The following is a 26,241-nucleotide window of genomic DNA, read 5'->3' as shown; positions in this document are numbered from 1 at the left end:
AATCCACTTCTGGAATTCATAAGCAATTTAGGTAAGAAGGAATATGTGGTGAGGGAAGAAAATATAGTGAAGGGGATGCTCTATGCATAATAGGACAATTGAGCACCTGTGACACAAACAGATTCGTGAATCATTGAAAGTCAGGATTGTGCCTGCAAGTCTACTCCAAACTGACACTGCATCTGTAACTTGCAGTTACAATAAATGCCTGCTGTTTACTTTATAATGCCAGCCCCTCTGGAACAAGCAAAGCCTAGGGTTCGGCAGCTAACAATGTTGAGCAGAGCAGGAAGGAAGGGCCTCGATGGTATAGGAAAAGGAAGGGCTTTGAAGTCAGACTGGGAATCACATCTCAGCTCTAGCCTCATTAAGGCTACTATGTGGCCTTTGACAATGGGCTCTCCCACCCTACGTTTCCAGCTCCTTGCCTGGAAGATGAGACCCCTCCATCACGCAGGGTTGCTTTTGAAGAGGGAAGACACTAAGTCATGGAAATGCCCCAGCACAGAATGAATATCGAAACTGACCAGTGACCTTGTTCTAAGCCAGGGTTTGGCCAAGTGAAATTCCCAGGCCACTGGCATCAGATTCAATGGAGAATCCCACCCCAACCCCCACCCTCAGATGTTCTGACTCGTGCATCAGAGATGAAGCCTTCAGCGGTCCAACAACCTCCTCAGGTGATCCTGACACAGAGCTAAGAGGAGAACCAACTACAATTACCCTACAATGTCACTGAAATTACCATGGCTTGCAACTAAATGCTTTAAACATCATGCCTGCCACTCTTAGTGCCCAGCCCTCAAAACCCTATTCAGGGAAATGCCATGTAGGAGAAGCAATCAAACTCTGACTGTAATATAGTTTGAATATTTATGCTGCCAAATAAGAATTTCTGTTGAAGTTATTTCCTCTCCTCCATATTATATCAAATTCTCATTGTTTGCCTCAGCCCATTAAAACCCAATGGATTTTTTTTTTCTGACATCAGCAACGTTAAGCACTTCAGGAAAAAAAATTTACAAGATGTGTGCTAGCTCAGTAGTACGAGCTTGTTTATATAGCTCTAATCTGACTGAGTGGGCAGGAATCCCAAGGGGAAAGAAGGAAGAACAACAGCTCTAAATAACAAATCACTCTTCCTGTTATAGCAGAGTATGCCAACTTGACATTTCCTATATATTCGAAGTTCAAATGTTCAATGACAGACAGAGTGTCCGTTTCAGGTAATGCACCAAGATCTTAAAGTACGGCAATAGCACTCAACCCCTAAAGGCCAATTTTGGTGGCACTGGAAGACACCCAGTATTTTACTGGGATATAATCACTTAATCATTTTAGGACATCGATTAGAATTCAGTGGTTCCCAAAAACTTGCCCAAGGACCGGAACTAGGCTAGCAGTCTCAGAATAACCTGGGAGATATTCTAAATATACATACTCCCGGTTCCCATGCTCCAGAAGTTCTGATCCAATAGGCCTAGGGTGGTCCCTGGAGATTTACAGATTAACCATTTTCCAGATGATTTGTAAGTACAGCCAGGTTTGGAAACCGCTGACCTAGATTCCATGGAGCCTGCCTTCCCTTCACTTGATCCCTTCCTCCCATCCCATGCTGCCTGATGTTTGGGCAGACATGCTAATGGGGGGGCTCCTTTAGCTTCCCATGTATTAAGGCAAAAACTCAATGAAATGGATACAACAAGGTTCTGGGGTCAAAAAAAACTGGCTTTCAATCCTGGCTATATCATTTAAGTGCTGTGTGGCCGTAAGCAACATATTTAGCCCCACTGGGCCTTAGTTTCTTCACCTATAAAATGGAACAAATGCTAATCACTCTGCAGCAGTGGTTCTCAGCCCGGCCTGCTGATTAGAATTTCTTGCACAGCTCATTACAGCAACCACAACAGGTGGATGTTATTATTCCCACGCTATGGATGAGAAAAGTAAGACTGAAGAGCACAGGTAACTTGCCCAAAGTAACACAGTTTGTCAGCCAAGCAACTAAAATTCAAACCCAGGACTGATTCCAATGCCCACAGTTTTTCCAACATGTCCATCTTGTGAAATCACCTACATAAAGTAGATGTTTGGCACAAAGCCTGGAACATAGTAGGTCCTCAACTAATCTGTGTTTCCTTCATTCTACTTGCTAGTTTTCAGTGAAGTTGACTTCTCCATTCCAATCCTACCTTAAGACTTACAAATAAATACAACGTTCTCTACACTATCACAGCTGCCTGACAGGCTAAACTAATTAAATTATCAAAGCTGCATATATATATATATATGCATGCATGAGGATTGCTTAAACCTGGGAGTTCAAGACCAGCCTGGGCAACATAGCAAGACCCAATCTCTACAAAAAAATACAAAAATTAGCCAGGCATGGTGGTGCGTTGCCTGTAGTCTCAGCTACTCGGGAGGCTGATGTGGGAGGATCACTTGAGCCCAGGAGTTGGAGGCTACACTGAGCTATGATCACACCACTGCACTCCAGCCAGGGCGACAGGGTGAGGACTGATCTCTGAAGTAAAAATAAAAATAAAAATTTTGCATTCCATCTGTTAAAGTTTCTAAAAATTAAGCTAGGAGGGAGAAGTGGAAAGATAGCCATGTAACAGGGCATGCTGGCCCTGGGAGTCCTGTTACTGCAATCTCTGCTGGAAAGCCAGGTCTACCCAGTCATCCTCTCTCACCAGGGCTCTGAACTCCACGCTGCTCTGGAAACCCCAACCCCTCCGACTCCCCACAGACTCATCCCACCCTTTCAACATTTCTGTAAATAGTATGCCCACTATGTCCTTCCATCTCCTCTCTGAACTTTAACCTTCTGTGACCTTAATGGAAACTTGCCTTCTCCTCTCCTACAGCCCTCTGTCCTCACGTCATATATCTGAAGACCAGGGAGTAGGGCAGGCAGCCTCCTGGCTCTCCACCGCTCCTTCAAATGATTTCCCTCCCTCCCTCCAACACAAATCCCTGCTCTGTGGCACTCAGGCCATCTGGCTCTGCCACTTTCTGCTCATCCTCACTGCTGTTTTTCACCTCCCTCCTGCTTATGCCTTCTCATTCCCTGAAGACTCCAGCTTCCGCCTCTCAGAGGGTTTCTTCTGCTTCCCTAACACCTTCACCACTTTCAGTGACTTTAACATCAGAGTCAAAGACCTACCAGAAAAGCCAGTTTCTCAGTTCCTTATTTCCTCACCTGAAGCTTTTTCCTTCTGAGTCACTATCTCACATGGCCACATCCTAAACTTTGTCATCACCTCAAATCCCACTACAAGCATCCTCCACTCTGTCCACCCTTCCTCTGTTCAGCTCACTTACTTACTCTGCATTCACTGCAAACAATCTTCAAACTTATTTAGACATTTAATCCATTGAACACACAGCACTTTTACTATCCATTCCTACCCTTCGCTTCACCTTCACTATTCACACTGGCTCCATCATTATACTCACTCATAATCACTCCCTTGCACATACCCTCTACTCCTGCATCTCCCCTTGTGATGGTTAATACTGAGTGTCAACTTGATTAGATTGAAGGATGCAAAGTATTGATCCTGGGTGTGTCTGTGAGGGTGTTGCCAAAGGAGATTAACATTTAAGTCCGTGGGCTGGGGAAGGCAGACCCACCCTTAATCTGGTGGGCACAATCTAATCAGCTGCCAGCAAATATAAAGCAGTCAGAGAAACATGAAAAGGTGAGACTGACCTAGCCTCCCAGCCTACATCTTTCTCCCTTGCTGGATGCTTCCTGCCCTCAAACTTGGGACTACAAGTTCTTCAGTTTTGAGACTCGGACTGGCTCTCCTTCTTCCTCAAGCTTGTAGACAGCCTCTTGTGGGACCTTGTGATCATGTAAGATAATACTTAATAAACTCCTACATATATATACACACACACACTGTTATATATATACTATTGTATATATAAAAATAGAATATACACACACACACACACACACACACACACTATTAGTTCTGTCCCTCTAGGGAACACTAATACACCCCCTTTCTGTGTCACACTATCCTTACCAAATTCCAACACTGATGGAACCCAACTATCCACCAACCCCAAGCTCCCATCCAAACAGATGAACACTTTGGGATGGAGAGGAAGTCACACAACCAGGCTGACTAGCTGCATTAAATTCATGGCCACAAACATTAAATGAATAGTCAACACTGCCTGCCAAACCCAAAATGTTTTCCTACCAAGCTTGTTTCTCCCTTTCTGAGATGGCTATGTCATATCTTTTCCCAGCTCATATTTAACACATAGTCTTAGCTGATGAGCTCACTTCAAAATTCATGGAAGAAATGGAAGCCAGCAGAAGGCAAGTCCCTCATCTTCAGACACCCTCACTGAAGCCACCATGTTCTCCATCTTCCTTTTTCTTATGGGGGAAAGTTTTTCTGTCAGAGGAATTTGAACCAGAGCAACTCCATCTTGAGTAGGGGCTGGGTAAAATGAGGCTGAGACCTACTGGGCTGCATTCCCAGAGAGTTACGCATTCTAAGTCACAGAATGAGACTGGAGGTCGGCATAAGATACAGGTCATAAAGACCTTGCTGATAAACAGGGTGTACTAAAGAAGCCAGCTGAAACCCACCAGAACCAAGATGGTGATTAGAGTGACCTCTGGTTGTCCTCACTGCTACACTCCCACCAGCGCCATGACAGTTTATAAATGCCATGGCAACATCAGGAAGTTACCCTATATGGCCTAAAAAGGGGAGTCAAGAATAATCCACCCCTTGTTTAGCATATAATCAAGAAATAGCCATAAAAATGGGCAACCAGAAGCCCTCAGGGCTGCTCTATCTATGGAGTAGCCATTCTTTAATTCCTCTACTTTCTTAATAAACTTGCTTTCAGTTTACTCTACGGACTTGCCCCGAATTATTTCTTGCGTGAGATCCAAGAACCCTCTCTTGGGGTCTGGATTGGGACCCCTTTCCTGTAACGTTACCATTTACCAAAGGGAAGTTATTCCATCCTTGCTCTTAATTAGATGGTTAATAGAACATTACTGCTCACATATGCCCTACCACCACACCAGCCGGGCTCAGGTGTAACAGTGGATTACAGATAAAAGACTTCCAAGACACAGCGTCCCTGAGGAATAGTAGTTAGGGAAACCTAAAGTCAAGAGAGGAGACAAAAACAAGGACCCTTGGGGGGATTTGAAGCCTCTAGCACCTACAGCTCAGCAAACACTAAACACAACCCAACTCCTAGCCAGATTAAGTAAAACCTCACACTAAGTGCCTACCTACCTCAGTTCCTATGACCCAACACATCATGTCTGGCTTTCAACAAAAAATTACAACGCATGGTGAAAGGTAAGAAAAACACATTCTGAAGAGACAAGCAATCATCAGAATCAGACTCAGATATGTCACGGATGTTGGAATTATCTGTGTCATTAACAGATAGGAAATTTAAAATAACTATGATGAAAAATGTTAAGGATTCTAATGGAGAAAGTAAATGGTAATGAAACCAGAGAGAAGGAAACATTTTTTTAAAACTCCTTTGAAAAGGAAATGCTAAAAATCAAAAACACTGTAACAAATGAAGAAGGCTTTCCATGGGCTCATCAGCAGACTCAAATGGCCAAGAAGAGTAAGACCTACCATTTGATAGCACAAGAGGGTGACTAATGTCAATAACAACAACTCAATTGTACATTTTAAAATAACTAAAAGAGTGTAATTGGATTGTAACACAAAGGAGAAATGCTTGAGGGGATGGACACCCTATTTTCCATGATGTGGTTATTATGCATTGCATACCTGTATCAAGATATCTCATGTACCCCATAAGTATACACATATGTACCCATAAAAATTAAAAATTTAAGAAATTTTTTAAGACTCCATGAGCTTGAAAGTCAATCATGAATTTCCAAACTAAAAAGAGAGAGAGAATTAAGGGAGGAAAAAAACCAGAGCAGAATATTCAGGAACTATAGAACAATATAAAAAGCTGTAACATAAATGTAATCAGAATTCCAAGAAGAGAAGAAAGAAAGGAGAAGAAATATTAGAAGGAATAATGACGGAGAACTTTCCAAAATTAATGACATACAATAAATCACAGATCCAGAAAAGTCAGTAAACACCAATCAGGACAAACACCCAAAAAAAGAAAAACTACATCTAGGTATATCATATTCAAACTGCAGAAAACCAAAGACAAAGAGGAAATCTTAAAAGAAGCCAGATTCCTTACCTATAGAAGAATGAGGATAAGAATTACAGAAGCCATGCAAGCCAGAGTGTGGAGTGAAATACTTAAAATGTTGAAGGAAAAAAAAAAAAAAAAAAACGCCCACTTAGAATTCTACATCTAGTGCAATTATCCTTCAAAAGTGGAGAAAAAATAAAGACTTTCACAGACAAGCAAAAACTGAGGAAATTTATCACCAGCAAACCTGCTATGCAAGAAATGCAAAAAGAAGTTCTTCAGGCAGAGGAAAATTATACAGGTCAGAAACTTGGATCTCTAAAAAGAAAGAACAAGCACTGATGAAGGAATAAAGGTAAAAACAACATATTGTATTTTTCTTATTCATAATTGGTCTAAAAGAAAAAAATAGACCCTTTTGAATAATGTTCATAGGACAAAAAAAATATTTTTTAAAAGGCTAGCATATGAATGCCTAACACAGAGCTCTGGAACAGCCCTTGACAATTTAACTGACTCAAAGGTTGGTAAACTTGGGCCCATGGGACAAATCTAAGCCTGTTACCTCTTTTTATATGATCTCTTTGCTAAGAATTGTTTTTACATTTTTAGATGCTTGAAAAAAAAGTTGAAAGAACAGTATTTTATGACACATGAAAATTGTATGAAATTTGAGTTTGTGTCCATAAATACACTTTTATAAATAAATGCCCATTTGTTTACTTATTGTCTATGATCACTTCTGTGCCACAACAGCAGAATTGAGTTGTTGTAACAGGGACTGTATGGCCCACAGAACTCAAAATATTTACTATTTAGCCCTTTACATTACAATTTTTTCTGTCCCTTGAACAAGTCCAAGCCTTTGGTTTTCAGAGGATGGCACTAAGACCTGGGAAGGTCAAGTTGCGTTCTAATGCCACCCTCCTGGTTAGCAATGAGTCAGCATTTAGAGCTTGGGTCTTCCCTCTCTTCTCACATGAGAGGGCTTATATTTTGTTAAGTATGGGTTCCAAGATTATAGTTTCTAATACTACTGACTATTGGGACTGCAGAAATAACATTTTATTATTCTCTTATTTCGCATGAAAGATTGTATCACTGCTAGAGAAGAAGTGGGAGTGACAGAGAAGCGTTGCCAATTTTTATACACAAGAAGTGGATGACTAAGAGATGAAGAGGATGACATGTTCCCAGGGGACCTAAGAAGAAAAGCACTCCTATTGGCTTTTTCTTTTTTAAAGAATGTCAGTTTTATTCCTTGGGATTTCATTGTTTTCTTTCTTTTTTAAAAAGGAACAGGTAAAATCAGTATGTTTATATGTAAAACATGGCATTTAAATGTAATATAAGGTGCACCCTTTCAATGACTCCATAATGCCTCCATTTGTAGCAGCAATGGTAGACTTTTCCTCTTAAGATAGCAAAATTTAACAAAAGAAAATCTTTTCATAAAGCTTACCAGCCAAAAGCAATATAGATCAAAGAAATAACAATTGAATAGGTTCTCGGGGGTTTTACAGTTTTACTCATACCGTGTAGATGGCAGACAAAAATAGTACAATTTGAATTTACAGTACCAATTCCTACAATGATGATCTAACTTGTAACAGTCCAACCCTCAAGAAAATCTAGAAAGGTAGATATGGTATAAAAAGAAGAGCTCCCAAGGCAATGAGGACACATGGGATCATGATCCAAGAGAAAAAGGAAGTACAGAGGTGAGCCCGCTATTCTGTGCAATTATGGCTTTAAGGCATTTAATCAAATTCAACACCTCTTCATGAAAATACTCTTGGCCAATTTTAAATGTAAGGGGGCTTGCTTGATCTGATAAACGGTATTTGTAAAACACTTACAGAAATATTTAATAATATTTAATAGTAAAACATGGAAAACTTTCCCACTGAGATTGGAAATTAGACAAGAATGCTCACTATCACCACTTCTATTCACCATTATATTTGAGGTCTTAGCCTATACAACAGGCAAGAAAAACAAATACAAGTCGTGATAATTAGAAAGGTAAAAGTAATAACTCTTTTACAAGTAATTTAACTGTGTACATGGAAATTCATAATAATTTATGAATGCAATTACTTTTGCACCAACCTAATACACAGAACTATTAGGATTCAGTGAATTTAGCAAAGTCAATGAATACAAGGTCAATATATAAAACTCAATTGTATTTTTTGTATATCAGCAACAATCAGAAAATGATATATTTTTAAAGGTATTATTTATAATAGCATCGAATAATTTCAAATACTAGGAATATATATTTAAAAGATGTGCAATAATTTTACAATATAGAGGGATACAAAAATGCTGACAGACGTGAGAGACAGATCTAAATAAAGGAAGGGATATTCCATATTAATGGATTAAAATAGCCAACACTGTAAAAACATTAATTTACTCCCAATTTAGGCTAGAGATTTAATGCAATCCCAATCAAAATCCCATCAGAAGATGACTTTAAAATTTATACAGTAATGCAAATGGTTAGAAATAATGAAGCTATTCTTTTTAATTATATATTATGTTAAGTTCTGGGGTACATGTGCAGGACGTGCAGGTTTGTTACATAGGTAAACGTGTGCCATGATGGTTTGCTGCACCTATCAACCCATCGCCTAAGTATTAAGCCCAGCATGTATTAGCTATTTTTCCTGATGCTGTCCCTCTCCCCATCCCCCCATCCCCAACAGGCCTCAGGTGTTTTTCCCCTCCCTCTCTCTACAGGTTCTCATTGTTTGGTTCCCACTTATGAGTGAGAACATGCAGTGTTTGGTTTTCTGCTCCTGCGTTTGTTTGCTGGGGATAATGGATTTCCGCTCCATCCACGACCCTGCAAAGGACATGATCTCGTTCCTTTTTATGGCCACATAGTAGTCTATGGTGTATATTACCATATTTTCTTTATCCAGTCTATTATTGATGGGTATTTGGGTTGATTCCATGTATTTGCTATCATGAAAAGTGCTGCAATGAACACATACATGCATGTATCTTTATCACAGAATGATTTATATTCCTTTAGGTTGATACCCTGTAATGGGATTGCTGGGTCAAATGGTATTTCTGCCTCTAGGTCTTTGAGGAATCACCACACTGTCTTCCACAATGGTTGATCCAATTTACACTCCCACCAACAATGTAAAAGCATTTCTCTCTCTCCTCAGCCTCGCCAGCATGTTGTTTCTTGAATTTTTAATAATCACCATTCTGACTGGTGTGAGATGGTATCTCACTGTGGTTTTGATTTGCATTTCTCTAATGATCAGTGATGTTAATCTTTTCTTTCATGTTTGCTGGCCACATAAATGTCTTCTTTTGACAAGTGTCTGTTCAAGTCCTTTGCCCACTTTTTAATTGGGTTGTTTTTTGCTCATAAATTTAAGTTCCTTGTAGACTCTGGATATTAGATCTTTGTCAGGTGGATAGGTTGCAAAAATTCTCTCCCATTCTGTAGGCTGCCTGTTCGCTCTGATGATAGTTTCTTTTGCTATGCAGAAGCTCCTTAATTATATCTCATTTCTCAATTTTTGCTTTTGTTGCAATTGCTTTTGATGTTTTTGTCATGAAATCTTTGCCTGTGCCTATGTCCTGAATGGTATTGCCTAGATTTTCTTCTAGGGTTTTTATAGTTTTTGGTTTTACTTTACATCTTTAATCCATCTTGAGTTAATCTTTGGATAAGGTGTAAGGAAGAGGTCCAGTTTCAGTTTGCTGCATATAGCTAGCCATGTCTCCCAGCACCATTTATTAAATCCTTTCCCCATTGCTTGTTTTTGTCATGTCTGTGGAAGATGAGATGGTTGTAGATGTGCAGTCTTATTTCTGAGATCTCTATTCTGTTCCATTGGTCTATGTGTCTGTTTTTTGTACCAATACCATGCTGTTCTGGTGACTGTCACTTTGTAGTATAGTTTGAAGTCAGGTAGAGTGATGCCTCCAGCTTTGTTCTTTAGAAGTTATTCTTAAATAAGAACAAACTAGAGGGTGCACACTACTGAATATCAAGACCTCCTATAAAGCTCACGTAATTAAGACAGTGCGTTATCAATATTATATTAGAGAAATAGAAAAATGGAATGGACTAGAAAACACAGAGACAGACCACAAATGTGACTGATAACAAAGGTGACATTTCAGAGTAGTAGAAATGAAGAGATTTTTCAATAAGTGGTGCTGGGTTTATTGGATATCCATAAGTAAAACAAAACAAATACGGATGCCTTTATCACACCACAAACAACAATCATCCACAGGTAGATTTTTACAACCTAAAGATAAAAGGCTAAAAGGCAAAAAAAAAAAAAAATAGAGCTTCTATAAATTAAAACAGAGTAGCTTCATAGCCTTAGGGTAGGCAACAATTTCTTAAGTAGGCACAGGAAACAATAACCATAAAGAAAGAGACTGATAAGTTAGATTATATTCAAAGTGAGATCTCCAATTCATCAAAAGAGAGTGAAAGGCAAACCACTAGAGCCGGGAAAAGATATTTTAAATACATATGACAGGCAAAAGTATTTGTATTAAAAATTTGTTTTTAAAAGAAGATTTCTACAACTCAATGAGAAAAAGATTAAAAATCTAATTTAAAATAGGCAATAAGCTTGAATAGGCACTGCAAAAGACAAATAAAAGTGGCAAAAAAAAATTAAAAAGGCACATCATCATCAGTCACCAGAAAAATGCAAATTGAAGCCATAATAAGACATCACTACGCACCCACCAGAATGGCTAAAATTCAAACATTTAACAATCTCAAGTCTTACCAATGATATAAAGAAACTGAAACACTCATGAACTGATGATAGGAATATAAATTGGTGCAGCCACTTAAGAAAACTCTTTGTAAGGATCGAATAAAGCTGAACATATGCACACCCCATGGCCCAGCAATCCAGTCTTAGGTGTGTATATCAAACAGAAACACATTCATATGTGTGTCACAAAACACATACAAAAATATTCATAGCAGCACTATTCATATGTCTAACCTAGAAATATCCCAAATGTCCCTCAACAGTAGATGAATAGTTTGTGGAATATCACAAAGTAGAATACTATATAGTAATAAAAATAGTCTACTGCTACACATTGCAACATAGATGAATTTCACAAACAATGTTGTGCATAAGGATCTAGAAAGAAAGTGTACAGGCATATATGTATGATTTCATATTTATTTCATTTGTTTCAAAAAAGAGAAAGTTACAGTGTTAGAAATCAGGTTAGTGGTAGCTACTTGAGAGGCTGAAGTGGGAGGACTGCTTGAGCCTAGGAGTTCCTGGCCATCCTGGGCAACACAGTGAGACCTCATCTCTTTAAAAAAAAAAAAAAAAAAAAAAAAAAGAGAGAGAGAGAGAAAGGAAATCAGCTTAGCAGTTACCAATGGGAAAAAAGAAATATGTACTTACTGGGAGGGCCCATGAGGTGGTTTCTGGAAGAACGGTAATATTCTCTTTCTTGATCTCAGAGAGATAACATGGATGTGTTTACTGCTTGAAAATTTATTGAACAATGATTTGAATACTTTTCTGTAAATATGTTATACTTCAGTAGAACTGTATGTTTGAAAAAGAATAGTGCAAATAAATGCAGATCTGGAGGAAGGATGCAGCATATTGGGTTCTCAAGGTGGCATTGCAGCCCTCTCACATACAGTGATGCAAAAAATGACATCATGGCAGGGTTATAATTGCAGGGATGATGAAGGAGCCAGAGGTTGTGTCTGTTACCACTGTGGACTGTCCTGGCCAGAGTATGCCTCATTATCAGACACACAGATCGAACCATCGTAGACATGTGACTAATCAGGACCAAAGTCCTTCCCTGAGACTGAGATAAGGACGCTGGAAGAAAGAAGATTCCTCCCCTGTGAGGTGACTGTTGAAAAGATGTGAGGGTAGAAATATTAGTGACCATCTTCTTCTTCTCTCGTGCCATAGAAGGAGGAAGTCAAGAAGACAAGGTGTTGAGTAAGAGTGCTGACCACATCATCTAAGTCCCTGGATCCAGCTAAGCCTGAATTCTCAGATTATGTGGTCAGATAAATTTATTTCTGCTCGAGATACTTGGATTTTGCTTCAGTTCAGTTGGGTTATTGGTATTTTTTTGTTTAGTCTGCATCAGAGAGAAGACTAAATCCCCATCACTATCAACACTATTATATGGCATTCAAGTTCCTTCGCACACTGGCCTCAACTTGCACTTCTAGTTTTATCCGTCACTGTTCATCTTCATATACCCAACAACATGGTAATCTCAACTACAGAAAACTCCCCCAACCAAGAATTCCCAATAAGCAAAGTTCAACTTATACCTATTTCCAAATACATTTTTGATAGTCAATTGGTCATTTTAAGAATAATTAGAAAATATAAGAATCTCGCACCAGTCTAGGCAATATGATGAAACCCTGTCTCTACAATAAACACAAAATTAGCTCAGAGTGGTGGCACACGCCTGTAGTCCCAGCTACTTGGGAGGCTGAGGTGGGAGGATCACTTGAGTCTGGGAGGTCAAGGCTGCAGGGAGCCAACACCACGCCACTGCAATCCAGCCTGGGCAACAGAGTGAGACCCTGTCTCGAAAACAACAACAAAAAAGACTCTTGGGATTAGAAACAGATTTTTTTTAAGTGGGGGAGGGGGTTTTAAGGCAGATGGCAGGCAGCGGAAGTGATTTTTGCAGAGAAGCTTTTGAAAGCTTAAAGGAAACCAAAAAATGAAAACCTGGAATTGGCAGCATATGCTTTGGCATGACACTAAATACCCTAGGCATGGGGGTGAGGTATCTGAGGACTTCCTGATCAGTCATGCCAACTAAGTTAAATAAAGTTTACCCCAAGATGTATCTATCCACTTTACCCTTTAGCCACAGGGAGACCCAGGAGTCAGCAGTCAGCCTCTCTGACTGAAAGGCATTGAACATTTGTATAGTGAGCCTGGCATGGAGGAGTGCCCTTGTGCATAAGAATTGTACACTAACTGTAATAAAGCAAAACTACCTGTAAGCATTTCACTGTAAGGGGGGCTGACAGCCTGAAAAACAGCAAGAAGTAACTGGAAATTCACTGTGGCACACTGCTCTTACCAACATAAGGTGAGTAAAATGTCACTCATAATCTACTTTTGTTTTCTCATTTTACTTTCAGTAAATATGACAAATACTTATTGAACAGTTTTGCTTAAACCTAGGTTTCCCCTATCCTTGTTTTCATTAAAGTTTTAAGTTCATCAACACGGACTCCTCCTGCCAGAAAGGTTTTTAAGGACCTCACTCTGTATGGGGGGTATTAAATATTCTTTGCACATTCCTTGCATTTGATCACCTGTATAATTTTGTTTACATTGAAATGCCCCAAGTACATTCTTGCCATCTCTGTCCCCTGGCCCCATTTCTGCAGGCCCCAGACCTCTAGGTCCTCCAAAGTCCAATTCATCTACTTAGCCTCTTCAGTGAAATCCCTCAGCAGGAAGTCATCTCTCCCTAACTTTCCATATATAGGCCTTGCTTACCACATTCCGTCTCTCCATTTGTTTTCCTTCTTCAGAATTTTAAGTTTCTTGAACACAGGAGCCATATCCAATTAATCATTATCTGGAAATGAGTCCTTGGTAGGAAGATAGATGCACTGTCTGACACGGACCAGCAGGACAAGGAGTGGGGAGGAGCAGCAGAGACCCCAGGCCAGCTGTGACCTGGGGTACGGAACATCCCGCCCCCGCAACCCCATTAATAGTTGACTAAACCAGAGATTGTTTCCAGGTACACACTCTCTTTCAGTAACCATCTCAAAGCAATCACAATTTCTCAGCCCTATTCTGCAACTGGGAAGAATGCAGATCAAGAGAGTTCAGCTACTTTGTCTCCTGTCACATACCCCTGGCTATCGGCAGAAACCAACAGCCAAGCCCTAAACTACCTGCTATCCTGAAAATGAAAGTCCCTTCACCTAAAAAAAAGTCTAAAATGTAATCAATATATTTATTCTTTGTGAATGCGTCCTTTCTATTTTGACCAGCTGCTGAATCAGTCTTTGTATTAGGATGTATGGTCAGCAAAATAATATAATGGCATCTTCCTGCTTGATTTGGAATCTAAACACTGTAGCATTTCCATAGAAGTTTAAGGAGAAAATATATTGCATATGTTATTTAATCTTTTTTTTCTACAGAGGTCACACCATAAAATACAGCCAGCTCAAAAGGTGTTTCTCTTGGATTGGGCAGTGTAGATATACATAATATTTTTCTAATTGAAATTGGTTAATAATTTTTAAATGAATTAAAATTTGGCAACAACAGGGCTTTCTGAGCAGCACATACTTCTCGCTTAAACACATTCTCCACCTGTCCCTAATGCAACCCCAACCCTGAGATCCAAGGTCAGGTGCCATTCATCATCACACGTGGATGGCTGTTCTGCTTCTAGAAAAAAGGAAATCTTATTTGGTATCCAGGTCTCTCTTGACAATGAGTCAGATGACCCCATATTTCAAGAAAAATAGATATAAATGTATTTCTGGGAGTAAAAACTTTCTATCTGTGTAATGTACAAACAAAACATGCTTTTGATTTGTAAAAATTACAACTTGTTACCATTGTGGAAGAAACCTCACTTGCTTCCCTCATTTCCTTTACCTAACTGGTCTATTGAGTGTTTGAGTTTGCAACTCATTTTTAAAATGCATTTTCTTCCTTCATTTCACAAATAGTTCTTAAACAATTAGTATGAATCAGAATCTGTGACAGATGCTGAATCTACAACAGGAAATAAAAGAGTCCCTGCTTTTATGGAATGTATATTCTAGCAGAGGGAGACAGACAATATATAAGTACATATAATGCAATGTCATGGTGATAAAGCTGTGATCAAAAATAGGGCAAGTAAGACAATGAAGAGCAATGAGAAGGGGCAGGAGTTATTATTTTAGCTAGGGTGGTCTGAGATGGCTTTAACTATAAGGAGTTTATATTAGCCCTTACTCTGAAATCAAACAATTGTTTTAATAACCAATTACAGTCATGCACCACAAGTCAGTGATGGACCACATACATGAAGGGGGTCCCATGAGATTATAACACCATATTGTTACTGTATCTTTTCCATGTTTAGATATATTTAAGTACAAAACACCACTGCGCTACAATTGCCTACAGTATTCAGTACAGTAACATGCTGCACAGTTTGTAGCCTAGGAGCACTATACCACATGGCCTAGGTGTACAGTAGGCTATACCATCTAGGTTGTGTAAGTACACTCTAGGGTGTTCACACAACAACAAAATCACCTAATGATACATTTCTCCAAATGTATCCTGGTCATTAAGTGACACGTGACTGTATTATTAACACCTTTCATCTGAAAACTTTGCCATTATCCCTTTTTGCACCTTTAAAGTTTATTCCTATTTCCTGAAGCCTGTCTCTTCCAGATCTGATGATAAAATGCTGTCTCTGAACTAAACTATAATGTGCTTACTGTCTTCATCATCTATTTGCTACCAAATCTGACTTACAAAATCCCCTGCATTTTTTCCTAAACTATCATTTAACATCTTTTATTGCTAATTTTCTATTTATTCCTATCATCTCTCCAATACAACTGAAATGATCTCAAGGGTAGGGTCTCTGTTTATTCCCCACCTTGTGCTATATAAAACAGCACAAGGACTTTGGGGTCAGAAAAGATCTGAGTTTAAATCTTGGCTCCTCAATGACTATCTGACTTAGGGCAAGTGACTGAACCTCGTTTCCACTCGGTTTCCTCATCTATAAAATGGGCATAATACCACCCAACATCTCTTAAAGGACTTTGATTTGCAAAAAGCTTAACAAATGCTGATTGTTATTTTGTAAGATCAGCCCACAACCATATGACGGACCCATAGTTTTGTAGGCTGAGCAAGTTTTTGTTTAGGCAACGAATTTTTATCAAGCATTTACTATGTGTATTGGTCTTGTGCTAGAGGTGGAGATAAAATTACAAACATAAATTATAAAACAAAACAAAAAAGCCAAACCGACCAAAGCCCAATGGAATAGACACACAATAATGTGAAACTAGGATGACAGTCTCACTATATCATGGATATGAAGTGGATCTTGCCAGGCAAAATCAAGCAAGCAATAAGAATGAAGGCTATAACCACGTGCACCTTGCATCCACACTCATACCAATCCATGCACCCCCACTAGTCCATGAATTCCTACCAATACTAGCCCATCCTTCCTCCTCCACCCACAGCTGTCACTCTGCAACTCAATAACTCAGCAAACATTTACCAAACTCCTACTATGTGCCAAGCACTGTAAGAAATCCCAAGGATGCAGAGAAAAAACATGGGCTTGCTCTGTGTGTCTGGCATAAGCCCTATCAATGCAGCAGCAGTCTCCTTTTTCACTTCTCTTCCTGCTGGTGATTAATGGCCTTTCGCCTCCAGGAAACAGAGGCATCTTTGGCTACCACAGAGATCTTGCCCACGCTGCCTTCTCCCACTTAGATGTGTGGGCCACTTGCTTTCTACAAGCCTCCTCAAATCCCAATGTGAGAACTATGGAGCAGGATTCTCAGAGACTTGGGAGTCCATCAAATGCTTGACTAACACAGCAATGCCTCAGGAACAGAAAATAAAGAGGAACCATTATCCTGAAACACTTATTTCTCAACAGACTCACTCTAAAAATTATTAGAAAACAGGAACTGTGCTGTGACAGTCCCATCTTCTTACGTGTCTGTGCTTTCTATGCCCCATACTTCATACAGGGTCCTCTATTCTCATGGTCACACATACTCAAAGGGTATTTTTTAAATTATTCTTTCACAGACGAGAAAACTAAGGTTCAGAAACACAATTAACAGGATTTTAAAATGCCTGTTGTGCTCCTTTAAGAACAAATAATAGCAGTTCTCTGTCTGAGCTCCAGACTAGCCAGGTCTTCATGAGAGCAACACAGGTGCCTGGGGTATTTCCAAGGGAGTGCCACCACCAGCTCTCATTCATGCAGGGGACCTCACCTCAGCTGGCTTTGTAGAATGCATGCTTCCATGTGTGCAAGAAAATAGGTTCTTGGGTCAAGCAGATACTAGTGAATGAGTGAACTCTACCATGGACAGATTTAAAGGTGGCTTTCTCTTTGATAGTTTAACCAAATTACTGTGAAATGCCAAGACAGCCTCTAAGACAATTCATTTGCATAGCCTGAGCTATTAATGAATGAGGATCTATTTTGTTCATATCCAAATATTTACACTTTTTTTGAAGTTACCACACATAAAAATGGTGGTTCTTGGTACCACCCTATGTTACTAACACCTAAGTAGAAGGAAAAGATATATTTTCTATATAAAAGGTAGCCACATAAGGATAATCAAAAGTTCTAACTGGGGTATTTCAGCCAGCTAGAATCTCCCAGCTATCAAATATACACATTCAATGTCACCAGAGGGAAGTGGTAAAGAACAACACCCTTTGGTATCAGGAGGCCTGGATCTTACTTCTGATGCTGCTACTTCACTTTGTGGATTTATGCAGGTTAATTTCTTTCTCTAAAGTTTTACATTTCTTCATTCATAAAATTGGGACCTATCTTATAGAATGGTGGTAGAGTTCTAATGAGCCTTTTTTCTTGGTGGGAGGGATGGGGGATGAGGAGAGGGGAGCAAGGAGATTGCTTGCTTTATCTGCTGCCTTGGTAATTAGGGTAATTAATAGTGAAACTTCCATTTTTTGAAATATGTGTATGTGGTAGAAAATAAATGGCCTCTTCCAGACCTGAGAGAGGTAACGGTGAAGTATTTGGTAGGCTTTGTGGTTTGTAACATCTCAAACAGGTATTCCTAGTTATTATTTAATGTAACTCATTAGGTTTAATGTTCAATTTAATTGCCTACTTATAAGCATTTTTGCTTTCTTTGCAGTTTGAAGTAGTGTGGTCCATGAATGATTATAACTCTTATTACAGGCTTAATGTTTCCAAATTCTGGATGATTATTCTTTTGTCTTGACTACTCCAGAAAGATATTCCTCCATAAGAGAAAACTAATATTGATTCAACCAATGCTTACTGAACACCTATTGGCAGGTATATTTTGGGGCACTGGATGGATGGCTGCAAAGAAAAGTCAAACAGGCTTTTTGGCCTGTAAGGAGCTTACTGTGAAAGCCTGTGAAAAGTCAAACAGGCATTTTGGCCTGTAAGGAGCTTACTGTGATGGTTAATACTGAGTGTCAACTTGATTGCACTGAGGGATACGGAGTATTGATCCTGGGTGTGTCTGTGTGGGTGTTGCCCAAAAGAGATTAAATATGTGAGTCATTGGGCTGGGGAAGGCAGATCCACCCTTAATCTGGTGGGCACAATCTAATCAGCTTCCAGCGAATATAAAGCAGGCAGAAAAACATGAAAAGGAGAGAGGAGCCTAGCCTCCCAGCCTACATCTTTCTCCCATGCTAGATACTTCCTGCCCTCAAACATCTGACTCCAAGTTCTTCAGTTTTGGGACTTGGACTGGCTGTCCTTGCTCCTCAGCTTACAGATAGCCTATTGTGGGACCTTGTGATTGTGTAAGTGAATACTTAATAAACTCCCTAAGACATATATATCTTATTAGTTATATCCCTCTAAGAGAAACCTAATACAGATTTTGGTACCAGGAGTGGTTCTAGATGAACAGAATATTAAGAATGGAGTTCTTTCGTTGGTTTTGGGGTTTCTGGAGTTGGCTGCTTAATATGATTAGACCCAAAAATGCTAAGGACTCTACTTCTAATAGTATAGAAAACACTGATAGTCCTTGGCAGAAACTGTTTAGAGAGTTATGCAAAATAAATGCCTTTGACACTCCTAATTCACCGCTCATGAGAGGCAGGGAGTTTAGCGACTCTGTACATAGCACATTTGACCATATGTGGAGAACCAAGGAACACAGTGAAGCAGGTTGGCTGCTCTTAAGTTCAACGGACAAAGTGATGAAAGAAAATGATGAACTCAGGGATTCTGTCTCCCAGCTTCAGAAGCAGATACTGAGCCTCAAATCTGCTAAGATTACACTAAGTGAGAGTCTTATCTCCTAGAGAAAGAGCCGAAATTGTGGAAAAATAGACACAAGCTCTTAAAGGCGGCCCACTGTGAGTGAGCTGGAAATGCCTGATCTCCCTTGGCTTAATGTACAGGAAGGAATCCAAAGGCTTAGGGAGATTGGGGTGGTGGAGTGGATTAGTCCCTTTAGACCTACTCATCCCAGCTGGGAGGGTCCAGAAGATATACCCTTGACCAATGCCTTGCAAAATAGACTTGGGAGGGCAGCACCTGCATCTTTGAAGAGCCCTGTAATTGCCATTCTCTGTATGTCAGATCTAATGGTGGGAACCACAGTCACTCAACTACAAAATGGGAATAATTGGATCCAGAGGTGGCAGGGACCAGGTGGCAGGGGTCAAGTGGCAGCACTCAACCATCAAAGGCAAGGTGAGCATAACTACCATAATGGACAGCAGAGGCAAAGTGGCAATCAGAATAGTCTGACTCATGTAGAGCTCTGGCATTGGCTAATTAATCATGGTGTTCCTAAAAGTGAAATTGATAGGAAGCCTACTGCATTCCTACTTCAATTACACAAACAGAAAACTTCTAGGTTGAATGGACAAAAGACTAATTTGAATTATAAAAACAGAGAATCACGGCTCCTCATTCAATTTCCAGACTTGAGCCAGTTTACAGACCCAGAACCCTTTGGACAAAGGGGAGGCTGGGTCCCCTTAAGGAAGGACTCCACTACATGACTGAAAATTTATGCAGTAGATCTTTCTCTCATCTTTCCCCAAGGAGACCTCTGGTCTTTTACCAGGGTAACTGCACTCGGGAAAGGAAAATGATCAGACATTTCGGGGACTACTGGACACTGGCTCTGAGCTGACATTGATTCCAGGGGACCCAAAACATCATTGTGGTCCTCCATTTAAGCTAGGGGCTTATGCAAGTCAGATAATTAATGGAGTTTTAGCTCAGGTCCAGCTTATAGTGTGTCCAGTGGGTCCCTGGACTTATCCTGTGGTCATTTCCCCAGGGCCAGAATGCATAATTGGCATAGGCATACTTAGCAGCTGGCAGAACCCCCACATTGGCTGACTAGTAGGGTGACGGCTATTATGGGGGGAAAGCCCAAATGGAAGCCATTAGAGATGCCTCTACCTAGAAAAATAGCAAATCAAAAACAGTATCATGTGCCTGGAGGGACTGAGGAGATTAGTGCCACCAACAGGGACTTGAAAGATGCAGGGATGGTGATTCCCACCACATTCCCATTTGACTCTCCCATTTGGCCTGTGCAGAAGACAGATGCATCTTGGAGAATGATAGTGGATTATCATAAGTTTAACCAAGTGGTGATGCCAATTGCAGCTGCTGTACCAGATGTGGTTTCATTGCTTGAGCAAATTAACACATCTCCTAGTACTTGGTATGCAGCCATTGACTTGGCAAATGCCTTTTTCTCCATTCCTGTCCATAAGGCCCACTAGAAGCAATTTGCCTTCAGCTGGCAAGGCTAGCAATATACCTTTACTGTCCTACCTCAGGGGTATATCAACTCTCTGGCTTTGTGTCATAATCTTATTCAGAGAGACCTTGATCACTTTTTGCTTCCACAAGATATCACTCTGGTCCATTACATTGACGTTATGCTGATTGGATCCAGAGAACAAGAGGTAGCAAACACACTGGACTTACTGGTGAGACATTTGCAAGCCAGAGGATAAGAAATCCAACTAAAATTCAGGGACCTTCTACCCCAATAAAATTTCTAGGGGTCCAGTGGTGTGGGGCCTGTTGAGATATTCCTTCTAAGGTGAAGGATAAGTTGCTGCATTTGGCCCCTCCTACAACCAAGAAAGAGGCACAACACTTAGTGGGCCTATTTGGATTTTGGAGGCAACACATTCCTCATTTGGGTGTGTTACTCCGGCCCATTTATTGAGTGACCCGAAAGGCTGCCAGTTTTGAGTGGGGTCCAGAACAGGAGAAGGTTCTGCAACAGGTCCAGGCTGCTATGCAAGCTGCTCTGCCACTTGGGACATATGATCCAGCAGATCCAATGGTGCTTGAGTTGTCAGTGGCAGATAGGGATGCTGTTTGGAGCCTTTGGCAGGCGCCCATAGGTGAATCACAGTGGAGTACTCTAGGACTTTGCAGCAAGGCCCTGTCATCTTCTGCAGGTAACTACTCTCCTTTTGAGAGACAGCTCTTGGCCTATTACTGGGCTTTGGTGGAAACTGAACGTTTGACTGGGTCATCAAGTCACCATGCAACCTGAACTTTCTATCATGAACTGGGTGCTTTCTGACCCATCTAGCCATAAAGTGGGTTGTGCACAGCAGCATCCCATCATCAAATGGAAGTGGTATATACGTGATCTGACTCAGGCAAGTCCTGAAGGCACAAGTAAGTTACATGAGGAAGTGGCTCAAGTGCCCATGGTCTCCACTCCTGCCACCCTGCCTTCTCTCCCCTAGCCTGCACCCACGGCCTCATGGGGAGTTCCCTATCATCAGTTGACAGAGGAGGAGAAGACTAGGGCCTGTTCACAGATGGTTCTGCACGATATGCAGGCACCACCCAAAAGTGGACAGCTGCAGCACTACAGGCCTTTTCTAGGACATCTCTGAAGGACAGAGGTGAAGGGAAATCTTCCCAGTGGGCAGAACTTCAAGCAGTGCACCTAGCTGTGCACTTTGCATGGAAGGAGAAATGGCCCAATATGCGATTATATATCAATTCATGGGCTGTAGCCAATGGCTTGGCTGGATGGTCAGGGACTTGGAAGAAGCATGATTGAAAAATTGGTGACAAAGAAATTTGGGAAAAAGTTATGTGGATGGACCTTTCTGAGTGGTCAAAAACTGTGAAGCTATCTGTATCCCATGTAAGTGCTCACCAACGGGTGACCTCAGCAGAGGAGGAGTTTAATAATCAGGTGAATAGGATGACCTGTTCTGTGGACACCACTCAGCCTCTTTCCCCAGCCACCCGTCACCACCCAATGGGCCCATGAACAAAGTGGCCATGGTGGCAGGGATGGAGGTTATGCATGGGCTCAGCAACACGGACTTCCACTCACCAAGGCTGACCTGGCTATGATCACTGCTGAGTGCCCAAATTGCCAGCAGCAGAGACCAACACTGACCCCTCCATATGGCACTATCCCTCAGGGTGATCAGCCAGCTACCTGGTGGCAGGTTGATTATACTGGACTTCTTCCATCATGGAAAGGGCAGAGGTTTGTCCTCACTGGAATAGACATTTACTCCGGATATGGGTTTGCCTATCCTGCACACAATGCTTCTGCCAAGACTACCATCTGTGGACTCACGGAATGCCTTATCCACCATCGTGGTATTCCATGCAGCATTGTCTCTGACCAAGGCACTCACTTTATGGCCAAAGAAGTGTGGCAGTGGGTTCATGCTCATGGAATTCACTGGTCTTACCATGCTCCCCATCATCCTGAAGCAGTTATATTGATAGAATGGTGGAATGGCCTTTCGAAGTCACAATTACAATGCCAACTAGGTGACAATACTTTGCAGGGCTGGGGCAGAGTTCTCCAGAGGGCCGTGTATGCTCTGAATCAGCATCCAATATATGGTACTGTTTCTCCTATAGCCAGGATTCACAGGTCCAGGAATCAAGGGGCGGAAGTGGAAGTGGCACCACTCACCATCACCCCTACTGATCCACTAGCAAAATTTTTGCTTCCTGTTCCCAAGACATTACCTTCTGCTGGCCTAGAGATCTTAGTTCCAGAGGGAGGAACACTGCCACCAGGAAACACAACGATTCCATTAAACTGGAAGTTAAGATTGCCACCTGGACAGTTTGGGATACTCCTATCTTTCAGTCAACAGGCTAAGAAGAAAATTACTGTGTTGGCTGGCATGATTGACCTGGACTATCAAGAGGAAATCAGTCTACTACTCCACAGCAGAGGTAAGGAAGACTACATATGGAACACAGGAAATCCATTAGGGCATCTCTCAGTATTACCATGCCCTGTGATTAAGGTCAACAGGAAACTACAACAGCCCAATCCAGGCGGGACTACAAATGGTCCAGATCCTTCAGGAATAAAGGTTTGGGTCACTCCACCAGGGAAAAGAACCTGCTGAGGTGCTTGCTGTAGGCAAAAGGAATACTGAATGGGTAGAAGAAGGTAGTCATCAATACCAGCTACGACCATGTGACCAGCTGCAGAAACAGACTGTAATTGTCAAGAGTATTTCCTCCTTCTTTTGTTAAAAACATGTTTGTGTATATATACACTCATACTAAGAAAATATCTTCATTTCCTTTTCCTTTATCATGTGACATAAGATTTATTGACTTCACAACAGCATGTAAGTATTGTTAACTTTATGTAATAGTATTTGCATTGGGGATTGGTGCATTTCTGGTTGTACAAAGGATAGTTGTATTATGTTATGCACAATTTTGACCTCATTATTGTCTTTATTTGAAGATTATGTATGATCTCAGGAGATATGTATGGGTTCAAGTTGACAAGGGGTGGGCTTTTGATGGTTAATACTGAGTGTCACCTTGATTGCATTGAGAGATACAGAGTATTGATCCTGGGTGTGTCCGTGTGGGTGTTGCCCAAAAGAGATTAAACATTTGTGTCAGTGGGCTGTGGAAGGCAGATCCACCCTTAATCTGGTGGGCACAACCTAATCAGCTTCCAGCGAATATAAAGGAGGCAGAAAAACATGAAAAGGAGAAATGAGCCTAGCCTCCCACCCTACATCTTTCTCCCATGCTGGATGCTTCCTGCCCTCAAACATCTGACTCCAATTTCTTTAGTTTTGAGACTTGGACTGGCTCTCCTTGCTCCTCAGCTTACAGCCAGCCTATTGTGGGACCTTGGGACCATGTAAGTTAATACTTAATAAACTCCCCTTTATAGATATATGGTATATGTACATATATCATATGTATATATATCATGTATAGCATATATATAGCATATATGTATATATGATATATATGTACATATATATATATATATATATATATATCCTATTAGTTCTGTCCCTCTAAGAGAACCCTAGTACACTTAACCCTCTAGTTTTCACTGTCACCAAACCAGCAGTCAGCATCATCCAGGGACTTGTTAGATATGTACCTTCTCGGGCCCCATCTCAGACAGAATCAATCAGAGACTCCCAGGATGACCCCCAGGTGTTTCTGTGTTTGAATAAGCCCTCTTCAAAGATCATTCTCATGTCAAAGCAATAAATACGTCATTAGCTTAATTAGTTAAATCTAAAAGTACCTTTTGCCCTTTAGGGAAACAGAGGCCCAGAGGCCACAGGAGAAGTTGGAGTAACTGCAACCAGAACTCAGGTCTCCCACCCACAATGGCCAATGACCTTTCTACTTCTTTTCTGATGCTTTAATCCCTAAATTCAAAAGGAAGCCCCAAGCATTACCAGCCCAAAGTGCAAACACTTGTTTTCAAAGAACAGAAAAAGAAAGAACCTACTCTTTTTGAAAATAAGGACCACCAGTAAAAACTAATATCTGATCAAAATCATTCTGTAAACAAGCAGTAAATTCCCAAGCCTTTAACACATTTCCAAGTTATATTTCCAAGCTATATTTTATATTTATAAAAATGTGTGGGGGAGGGGGACTGGGTAGAAATAATTGACTAGAATAATATTTGGAAGAATATACAGTTAAAGATATGTTAACAGTGGCTCCCTCTCCCTAGCAGATTATGGATAACCTTTATTTTTTTCTTTGTATTTTCCTGAACTGTTTCAATAGCTAAATATTACTTTTGGAATCAGGGGAAAAGTTAAAATTGTTTTTTGAAATATTATATCCATATCACTCAACACGAAAGTTGATTTTGTAATTCTATTTCTTTCCTTACAGCAGGATAGTGTGTGTATAGTAATTATTTATATCATGCCATATGTTACAAAGAAGATGAAATTTGGTAAATATATTCCTTCCAGCTGGAAACTGAAAATGAAGAGGTTAAATGCATTCCTAGGTTCAGAGCAATACCAATTAAGACAAGCTAACTGCAAAGCTAAAGGAAAAATTAATCCCGGTATTGAGATCTCTGACAGCATCCTTTTGAAAAATGTTTATGTGACACACAGCTCCTTATTCCATCCCCTGATATTTAACCCCTGGCACGAAACAGAATGTTCAGCAATTCCTGGCAAAGTCTTAGGAGTTCAGGGGATAAAATGCATGGGAGAAGATGAGAGACATAAGAAATGGAATGATTCTACTTTCACACAAAATTATGTCCCTGTAGACAAAGAGACATCCAAAATTACTGGCAAATTGTCCACAGTAACCTAAATTTATTTTTCTTTCTCAAGAAACGTCTACTTACTTCAAAAACATCTATGTTGCAGATCTTATTCTGCAAGTCAAAAATAAATAAATAATTAAAATGGACTCATTTAAATAAACATTTCTGCCACAAAAGCATTGTCATAATGTTTCACTTGATAAGATGAATTTATTGCTTCAAAGAAAATCTAGTCTTGTTTTACTGAAACTCTCAGCAATATAAATTCAGTGAATGTTAACTGAAATTCCTTAAAGAAAATCAGAAGTAAAGTTAAGATCTGCCAGAATAAATATATAAAAGGAAACACTGGTGGCCTCTCTCCTTCATCACAATACCTCCCAACAGCTGACATTTATAGAACTTGCAGACTCTTTCAGGAAAGGATGAGTTATTGGGAATAGACTCTCTCTACATATATATAGTTTATGGTGCATGAGATCATATTTACAGGACAATTTAGCTTAAGAGTGGTACAATATCAAAGAACTTAGAATTTATCATCTATAGCATGCGAGATTTGGCTTGCAAAGGTTTCTCTCTCAAGAGTCTCACCAAATGTCCCTCAGCCCTCTACTTTCCTTCACAGAGTAGTCCCACCCATTGAAAAAGTGATAAATTAAGAATAAAGAATATACATCTTACAG

The 26,241-nt window shown here is 40.4% G+C and overlaps 1 protein-coding gene across 51 annotated transcripts in view, besides 2 other annotated features; it reads right to left on the bottom strand.

Annotated features, from left to right (window-relative positions):
- RGS6 (regulator of G protein signaling 6) overlaps positions 1-26,241 on the bottom strand; it is a 762,695-nt gene that overhangs the window by 669,718 nt on the left and 66,736 nt on the right. The window lies entirely within an intron of this gene.
- Positions 16,381-16,592: a silencer, noted in NCBI's record as "fragment chr14:72410437-72410648 (GRCh37/hg19 assembly coordinates)". NCBI's record gives its function as "represses an EF-1alpha promoter that drives an FKBP-Casp9 reporter gene in an ReSE screen in HepG2 liver carcinoma cells {active_cell/tissue: HepG2}" and the evidence as "EXISTENCE:reporter gene assay evidence [ECO:0000049][PMID:32094911]".
- Positions 17,220-17,299: a silencer, noted in NCBI's record as "silent region_5901". NCBI's record gives its function as "represses an Ori minimal core promoter by ATAC-STARR-seq in GM12878 lymphoblastoid cells {active_cell/tissue: GM12878}" and the evidence as "EXISTENCE:reporter gene assay evidence [ECO:0000049][PMID:35858748]".

Source organism: Homo sapiens, chromosome 14 (genome assembly GCF_000001405.40).
Source record: "Homo sapiens chromosome 14, GRCh38.p14 Primary Assembly".
NCBI lineage: Eukaryota > Metazoa > Chordata > Mammalia > Primates > Hominidae > Homo > Homo sapiens.
Note: the sequence above shows the minus strand (reverse complement) of the source record. Positions and strands in the feature narration are given on the sequence as shown.